This window comes from Homo sapiens, chromosome 21, assembly GCF_000001405.40.
Source record: "Homo sapiens chromosome 21, GRCh38.p14 Primary Assembly".
Classification (NCBI taxonomy): domain Eukaryota; kingdom Metazoa; phylum Chordata; class Mammalia; order Primates; family Hominidae; genus Homo; species Homo sapiens.
In genome coordinates, this window is record NC_000021.9 from 45,098,892 (window position 1) to 45,108,671 (window position 9,780).

Here is a 9,780-nt window from a genome sequence, read left to right on the forward strand (position 1 = left end):
GAGCTCACTGCCTCTGCCTCAGAATTGGGGGTCAGGTTATTCTTAGTATTCTAGGTTTATAAGGCCAGACAGAGTCCTTCTTCCCTGTAGAGCAGAAATGACCCCTAATATAGGAGCATATTGTTTTCCCTCAGCAGAGCAAATGCTTCAGTAGTAGTGTTACCAGCAGACAGATGGCGCTTTAGAGGTGACATGTGATAGATGCTTGGGACTGAAATTTAGCCGTGGATCATAGCCTGAATGGGATTTTCACGCATGTCTTCCCTCTCAGGATTTCTCTTAAGGGTTGTTGATTCCACATTTCTCCTTGAGGAGGGGGTGGTGGTAGGGCTGGTGACCGGGGAACTGTAATTTCCTGTGGGAGAGCAGCAATTTCATTATTCCTTTAATGAAGCTATAGTTGATCATCCTTCAGTGCCTAGTATACAGCCTGTTAAATTAGGGTCTTCGGATTGCTCTGCAAGCCTTTTTAAAAAAATAATTTACAGGCTGGGCGCGGTGGGTGGCTCACGCCTGTAATCCCAGCGCTTTGGGAGGCCGAGGCGGGTGGATCACTTGAGGTCAGGAGTTTGAGACCAGCCTGGCCAACATGGTGAAACCCTATCTCTACTAAAAGTACAAAAAAAATTAGCTGGGTGTGGTGGCGCACACCTGTGATCCCAGCGAGCAGGAGGCTGATACATGAGAATCACTTGAACCTTGGGAGGGGACCACTCCAGCCTGGGTGACAGAGCGAGACTCTGTCTCAAAAAAATAAAAAATAAAAATTTACAATTTATGTTAAAATATGTCATTTTAAGTTATGTAAATCCAAGCATAATTACTGAACACAAGGCTCAATCCAAAACATGCACAGTAAGCCCGTGTGAAGTGTTCACATGCTGTTCTGAGGCTGGCTGGATCTGGAGTTTCTGGGAGTGCTCTCTTGGGCTGGCACGTCTTGGGCTGTGGGGGCCCTGAAGCCCTCCTAGATGCTGGACATTGGTGTGTGTGCAACTTGGTGGTGGTGTTGGGGTTACTTTCCAGAAGCTACTCAAGGCTTAGTCTCAGTTTCTATCTAAAGATATTTATATGGGAAGTATTCCAAATGTGGATTTATAAAGATAACACATGGATAGAAATAGTGTAAAACTTGTGTGAACTGAACCAGCCAAGCTTCTAGTCTTCCCTTTCCAAAACTTTCCTTTTTCTCCCCCCGTGTTAAAGATTTAAAAATATATGTTTAAAAAGGTCACTTTTAACTTGTAAAAATTATTCAACATATACAGAAATTTAAAAAGCAGCATTGCAGGTTATGTGAGATTATGTATGTCTGCTCTTTGGAACTAGGTTGAAATGATAGCTACAAGGTTCTTTGGAAGAATGGGGATGTGTGGGTGAGAGTGGAGTAGACAGGCTGGGCTTACTAACTAGGCTTGCACTGGCCCCCGTCAGTCACTGTTCCCAAGTCAAATACTGCATTGCACTGAACACCAGAGCAGCAGTGCATTTCCTAGAGAACTCTGCAAGGCTACAGGTGGCAGACTTAGGGAGCGCTTGCCATCCCTGCCCTTCCCAGCTCTACCCAGAACAAGGAGGCCTCGCACACTACCTGGTCATATTTTGACTTCATGCATTTAATGAACCAAACTAAAGGTAAATATTTTCTTTTGATTCCCAAGGCAGACTTGTGGGTACCCAAGTTCCTCAGCCCATCTTTAACTCAGTAGGATGTGGCATCTCCATTGAGGCTCTTCATGGAATCCCTGGAGGTGAAACCTCGGTGTCCGGTTGCTCCAAACCAGTGCTGGTGGGATTCAGTTTTCTGGACCCATTTCTGGGTGAAGTCAAGGAATGGAGGCGGGCGGCTGTCAAGCGTCTCTGTTGCTCAATGGGGCAGGCCAGTCCCAGCGGCGACTTAGAGGTGGCTGGCTGGGCGTCCCTACAGGAGAATGGGCCACAGGGCCAGCGGGGCCAGCAGGATGAGCAGGCCTGGTTTGGGGTATGGGCCGCAGGCGTGGAGCTCGATGCTGGGCAGGGGCCTGCTCACTGACGAGTTGCCACCCGGGATTGGGGTAGGGGTGGGCGCGGTGGTCTCGGGCTCTGAGCGGCTCTGCACCGGCAGGAGCAGGACTGGCAGCAGCAGCAGCAGCGCCAGTGCGGATCGGGCCGCCATGGCCAAGCGCTCCGGCTCGTCCCGTAGCAGTGCCGCGGCGGCGGCCGCTGCCGGGAGTGTCTGTTCCGCGGTTACGCGGGGTCCTCTCCGGTCCTGTCCAGTGAGGTCCTGACAGCTGTACCCTGGCCCAACCCCTGCCCACGGCTGTTAACGATCAGCCTCGGGGAGCAGGTGTGCCGCCACGCGCGCCGTAGCGCTCCGGAGCTGGCTCTGCGCTCACGTGCTCGCTGTGCCCTGCGCGCGGGCGGGCCGTGTCCCCGCAGCCCCGCGCCTGGCGCTGCCAAGCTGCCCAGCGGGCTTTAGCAGGTGCTGAAATGCCCGCTGCCAGTCGCCGAGTGCTGGGTGCAGAGGATCTCTCCAGACACCTAGGCTCCCTTCTTTCGCGGCACGTGGGAAAAACTCCTGAAGTGCGTGCACAGAGTTTTTGTTTTAGAGGCTTTGACGTTATGATTAAGTATACCTGTGATGTAACGAAAACCTTTTTTAATGCTTCTCAAAAGATTTGCTAGCGTTTAACATTTACCTCCTGTACTGGAGTTTAAAGGAAGCGTTGCTTCTTAAGTAATCAGTGATCCTTTTGCTTTTGGAAATTGTAATGAACTTCACCATCGTAGAGCTTTAATATTTCTTTCCTGAAGCAGAAAGCATGTGAAATTTTCTGGATAGTGTATACTTAATACACAAGCTTTTGGAGTTTTTGAATGCTGGGTATGTTAGCACACCAGTCTTGCTGACTATTACGTGGGAGATGAGTGCTGCTTAAAATTGTGTAAGGGGTCAGTAGTTACAGTGGTGGACATACTTTTGCCAGACATGGTTTATTTTAAAGTGAACATATTTTGTGCTTATTTATTTATTTGGGACAGGGTCTCACTCTGTTACTCAGGCTGGAGTGCAGTGGTAATCATGGTTCACTGCAGCCTCAACTTCCAGGCTCAAGTGATCCTCCCACCTCAGCCTCCTGAGTAGCTGGGACTGTGGGGCTACAGGCGCACTACCACACCCAGCTAACTTTTTTTATTTTTTGTAGAGACGGAGTCTTGCTGTGTTGCCCAGGCTAGACTTGAACTCCTGGCGTCAAGCGATCCTCCCTCTTCGGCCTCCCAAGTTGCTGGGATTACAGATGTGAGCCACCATGCCTGGCCAATGTGCTTATTTTAATTCTAAATCAGAATTTCTATAATTATCTTCCTTACCTTGGTGTCTGTCTGTTATCAGCACAAGGGTTTAAAATAATTTTTGATTTCTTGGAAGTAATTACGCAGGCAGTTCAATGGGAGAAGGCACTTTCCTCAGCACATTTGGGGTGCTGTTGTCAGAAAGAAGGGGATGGATTCAAGTCAGCAAAACCAGCTGTAACCACAACTATATTTTTTAAACATGTAGCTGCATGTTCCATAAAACAGCATATAAAAAATAGAGTGAGCATTCTTTATTGGAGAAATAGCTGATTCTAGGACTGGGCAGGAAATAACACAAGTGCCAGGAATGCCAAGGAAATGGCAAGGAAATGCCGAGAAACAAACATAACCACACCCACATCAATGGGTGGTGTCAAAGGGACCCAGGAGCCAACTGAAAGAGCTCCCAGTGGCCAAAGCTGGAACAGTTTCTACAACAAAACAAAGTAGTATTGGATTATAGCCCAGAGATAAATAAATATCCATGAGTCCAGACTGACATAAATAAATGACTGATAAATGAGGAGAAAAGACAAAGCTCCTTTTCCAGCACAATTCCAGATCATCTCTGCATCTGCTGTATCTGCTGTGTCTTCCAGGAGGTGGAGCACAACCCTTACCCCAAGGCAAGGGCTGTGCAGAGCAACTTCCTTCCAGAGAGGACAGCATGGAAGTGGGGCGGGGGGCTCAACCCAGCAGGGGCCAGGTCAGCCTCACAGTGGTCAGTCACGGTGACAGGGTGTGCCTGATACAGTGGAGTGACAGTGGGCCTTCACCTCTGGGGGCTTCATCCCCAAACTCAGTCCCTTCCTGTACCATGAGAAAAACATCAGACAGATCCCAGCTGAGGGACAGCTTCCTCAACAGTCAAAAACCAAGAAGAGTCTGAGAAACTCACAGCCAAGAGGGGCCTAGGGAGCCATGACATCTCAATGTCACGTGGGATCCTGGACGACTGAATCTGACGAAAGTGTGGATTTCAGTTAATAACAATGTGTTAATTAATACTGGTCCGTTAAACCAGCAGTCCTCAACCTTTTTGGCACCAGGGACTGGTGACAATTTTTCCATGGGCCGAGGTGGGGGCTGGGAGAATGGTTTGGGGATGATTCCAGCGCGTTACATTTATTGTGCATTTTCTTTCCATGATTACATTGTAATATATAATGAAATAATCATACAACTCAGCATCATGTAGAATCAGTGGGAGCCCTGAGCTTGTTTTCCTGCAACTAGATGGTCCCATCGGGGGTAAGGGGAGACAGTGGCAGATCATCAGACATTGGATTCTTATAAGGAATGTGCAACCTAGACCCCTCACATGCGCAGTTCACAATAGGGTTCCAGTCCTGTGAGAATCTAATGCTGCCACTGATCTGACAGAATCAGTGCAAGAACTGATTCTCTGAAGCCCAGTTCCTAACAGGTCATGGACTGTTACTTGTCCATGGCCCAGGGGTTGGGACTCCTGTATTAAACCATGCTCATGTAAGATCTTAATAATAGAAAATGGGTGTGGGGTCTGTGGGGCCTTTCTGTCACATCTGCTCAATTTTTCTTCAAATCTAAAATTGTTCTAAAAATAACGTTTACTTTAAAAATAAGTGTTTTTTCAAAAACACTTTTTTGTGTCCTTATCTTCTGCTCCAAATAAATAATTATCCTGACTTTTGTGTAAGTGGTTCCACTAGTTTTCTTTGATTTCTTAACTCTGTCTGTTACCCTTACACAGTATATCCTTTGGTTTTGAAAACCGAGTAGTCAGGGCACACTTATCGAACCAGGCCCCAGGGGTCAGTGACGGTTGATCTCCAAGGGGTTCACTTTTGGGGAGGGGGGTCCCTCCTGGAGCAGTGCGTTCAGCTAGCTCGTATACTTTTTCACAAGTGTGTTCTGTTCCCTTCAGCGGGGTAGGCCTGCTACCCTCTCCTTCCACTTGGGCTTCCCCTTTCTTGTCTGTCTCCTTGTGCCTGGCAGCCTTGGGTATCTGTGATATGGCTGTGGTTAGTTTTGGTGCAGTGGGATATATTTATGTGCTGCAGTCACTTCTGTGAAGAGTTAGGTGCTGTCCGGGTGCTGTCAGCTTGGATTCCGGAGTTGTCCTGTGCAGTGGAGGCTGTAAAGGAGCATTGTCAGGGAAGAGAGGCTGTTGCTACTGTACCCATTTGACTGGGGACTCCTGGGATAGAGTGAGTTCCAAGAAAGAGCAGGGAAGAATTGGGTCAGTGGAGACACAGTGGGGGTCAGGGCATGGACAGGCCGTGCTGCAGCTTGGAGATACAAAGAATGAGGGACGAACCCAGAACTGGAGGTGTTTCTCAAGAACAGAATCTTCAAAGGTTGAGATGAAACTCCCATCATACTTACTAGCAATAACCTCTAGCAAAGTTGAGGTGGTCTGTTTTGGCTAAATAAAATGGACATAGCATTGCTGGGCCCCTGTGAAGGGCTGGAAGCAGGGAAATGTCAGCAGTGGCAAGCGTGCCCTCTGGGGAGTAGGGAATTTCCCTGGCGCTGGCAGGCAGCCCATGCTGCCGTAGATGTTTCCTGCTGTCCTGGGTGGCCTCACACAGAGCAGCTCCACACCTGCTCTTTGAAGTTTTCTTGGGGTGCCTGCTGGCTACAAGGGGTCTAGATGTTTATGACACTGATATAAAGTCTCTGTGCTTCCCTTGGGGAAATGCTCCCAAGTATGAAGCACCCAGGTTCTGAGAACAGAGTTGGATAAAAAGGTTGAGTTGGAGAAACTTACCTAACAGGGTTAAAGTGGAGACAAGGATGGCATGTGAAGCTTTGGCTTTACTTCCCAGGTGATTTTTCTGTTACGCTTAGCATGCATCGTTGCTGCTTCGTTGTTTTGTTTTGTTTTGTTTTGTTTTGTTTTGTTTTTTTAGATGGAGTCTGGCACTGTCACCCAGGCTGGAGAGCAGTGGCATGATCTTGGCTCACCAAAACCTCTACCTCCTGGGGTCAAGCAATTCTCCTGCCTCAGCCTCCCAAGTAGCTGGGATTACAGGTGCCCGCCACCACACCTGGCTAATTTTTGTATTTTTAGTAGAGATGAGGTTTCACCATGTTGGCTAGGCTGGTCTTGAACTCCAGACCCTCAGATGATCTGCCTGCCTTGGCCTCTTAAAGTGCTGGGATTATAGGCATGAGCCACTGCACCCGGCCTGCTTCTTTGTATTTTAATATTTGTGTATTTTATGATTTTCTAGAGAAGCATTGGTTTCATTTTGGCCTAAGTATGATACAAGAGGTGGAAGGCTGGTTTCTCTGTTTCCTTCAGCTGCTCCTGACTGGTCCTCATCTGTTCCTTCTCAGATCACAGTTAACTGAATATATTTTAAAAGAGAAAACTCGTAAGTGCCCTAAGGAAATAAGGAATTATTTTGAACACTAAAGCTAAAAGCATTCTAACATTGTGTTGCTTTTATGTTCTTTACTAAATTTGCTTCATGCACACACACACATATATGAGTGTATTTCTCAGTATGCAGATGATTTCAAGGACTGGCTTCCTTCGTGAAAACGTATTGTTGGTTGCAAGAAGATAGGGGACTGGAAACATGATTCGTCTGTCTGTAGAGGTGAAGTTCCAAGAAGCTCACCACTGTCCAGTCTTTATGCTTATGAACTTGTTGAGTGAGTTCTTTTTTTATAGTGTACCCATGTCTAGGAATTTTGGCTGAAATCAGCTTCTTTGCTTTTTTAGGCTTTTTGCTAGTGATAGTGTTGTCTTTGTTCTGTAAAACAACTGTAAAGGAATACCAACAATCTAGTGCAGAAATTCTTTTGTAAGAACAAGCTACCCTGATGTCATGTCGTGTTTTAGGACTGTTTGCTTCTCAACCTGATGAAGTTGTTCTTAGCTGTTTGCTTTGTTTTCTCATCCACAGCAGTATTCCTTTCTTTGCCTTTAATGCAATTGTATCTTGAGCAGGCTTGTTAAATCCCGTGGGAGGCTTTTTTTTTTTATAGGTCCTTTCTCTACTTGGCTATGTTGCCTGCTGAGTTTAAAGCCTTTTTATGATATTTAACAAAGCCCTCTGTGTTCAGCGTGGGTTGTGGTTGTGTTTAATGTTTCAACCTAGACTCGTGTATTAAGTACAGATATCATCTGTCACTTAACTTAGCCTTGCTCTCAGTGTGTTTATCATCATGTCTCTAAGGCCATCCTAAATACGTGACCTGGAGAGAGAGGGGGTGGCTAGGCCAAATGCTGGGATGCCTGCACTCCGTTTCTTAGCCGTGAGTCTGTGCTTGGAAACCCACGAGAACTCTGGGGAGCCACAGGCCTTGGGGCTTTTAGCTGTCCCCCTTTTCTCTTACTCTCCGGATGAGTGACTTGGGAACTTCCGAGCAACTTAAAATATTTAGCTCACTTTACTTTAATAAACCATTTTTAGTGCTATCTATGATAGGGTCCTTCCAGTGGGAGGTACACAAATTTAACTTAACTATAGTTAAACAAGAGCCAGAAAGGTAAAGAAGGTATTGTTGAGAACAAATACGGCTGGATGCACTTTTGGGGTGCAAATTTGTCTCTTCTCTGTGTCAGTTGTATCTCCCCAAAGCAAGGAATAAGTGCTGGAGTTGAGTGCGTCAGAGCAGGGCTTGTGGCAAGGCAGGAAGAGGCTGCACAAAGCACAGATGTGCAGTTTCATTAGTCAATATGGAGGAATCCTGAGGTACCCACTGGCTATGTTGAGTAAAGGAAAGAAAAAACAAAGGCATACCATGTGGAAAAGAAGAAATAAAACTACCTCTTTTGGGAGTATCTGGAAAACCCTAGAGCAGTCCTGTCCAGTAGAAATACAAAATTAATATGCAAACGTCAATGTTATTCATATATACAAAAATAATCAGAAGATATTATGGAAGAGACAACCCCATTAACAATAGCAACAACGAGAAAATATTTAGGAATAAATGTAATGAGAACTGTTCAAAAGCTAAGTGAAGAAAACAATAAGTTGAGAAAGACACAGAAGTCGCCTTGAGCAGGTGAAGACACCTTGTTCTCGGTTAAGATGGCTTGGCTCATTAAGATGTCAGTTGTCAGGTAATTTTCAAATTTAATGTGATGCTAATATTTGAAAGCAAAAAGACTCAGCTTTTTTTTCTTGGGCTGGACATGTCGATTCTAAAATTGAAATAGCATGAATACCTAGAAAACTTAGAAAAGAAAGAGCCAAGAAAAGGAGAATAGCTCTACTAGATATTAAAACATACTACAAAGGCTATATGGAAAATAGTGTGGCAAGGTTGCATGAAGAACCAGACAGACCAATGGAGGAAATAAGCCCATATATAGATGGAAATCTAGTATATGATAAAGATAGTATCTCAGATTGTTGGGTCAAAGATAGATTGTTAGAGTCAACGTTCTTGGGACAATTGGACTCCATTTTGTAAAATACATCATTAGGATTTATAGCTTACACCACATGCAAAAATAGGCTGCAAGTGGGTCAGAGAACTCAGTGTGAAAAAGGCAACTGTTCCAATGTTAGACACAAACATGGTTGAATATTACCTATGTGTTGGGAAAGGCTTTTTTAAAGGCGTAACTCAAAATTCAGCTTCAACAAAGAAAAGATGGATGAATTTGACTGCATTCCAAAATACTGCGACCAGCCTGGGCAACATGGCAAAACCTATTTTTACAAAAAATACAAAAATAATTTGGGTGTGGTGGCACACACCTGTAGTCCCAGCTACTTGGGAGGCTGAGGTGGGAGGATCACTTGAGCCCAGGAGGTTAAGGTTGCAATGAGCCATGATGGTGCCACTCCAGCCTCGGTGACAGAGCGAGACCCTGTCTCAAAAAAAAAGTAACAACTTTGCCTGACCAAAAACAAAACAGAAAAACACAATAAGGTCAAAAGACAAAAATACCAATTGTGTGAAAACCTTTGTAGCATATCATAAATGTTTTAAAAGTTGAGGGAGAAGAAACCCGAAATTCTAGGAAAATGGGAAAAAGGTATGAACAGACACATATGCACATATACACGTACATAAACATGGCCCATACACTTTACCAAGATACCATTTCTTACAGATGTGCAAATAATCAAAAGTCTCACTTGATAGCTATTTCTAATAATGTTGCTATTTCTCATGTACGTGCTTAATTGGAAATGGTGTATTAAATAAAGGTGAAGAGGCAGTTGCCTTTTCAGCTTAAAAGAGCATTAAAGTTTATGATTGTTAACTTCTAAATTTATTCTCAGTGTGCTTTGAAATAGACTTTATAACAAAAGCAGCACTAACTCTCCCTAGATTTCCTAGGAAGCAGGTACCAAATTCTTATGCACCTGCATGCACAGGCTGCCAGGATGCCCCCGCTCTACTGTGGATTATTCTAGGCTGTTTCTCCTTCCTTCCAACCACCACACCCACATCCCTAAACCTAGGGGTTTAAATTTAGGTAACACA

General features: G+C 45.2%; 1 protein-coding gene across 11 annotated transcripts in view; it reads left to right on the forward strand.

Annotated features, from left to right (window-relative positions):
* ADARB1 (adenosine deaminase RNA specific B1) overlaps positions 1 to 9,780 on the forward strand; it is a 151,986-nt gene that overhangs the window by 24,314 nt on the left and 117,892 nt on the right. The window lies entirely within an intron of this gene.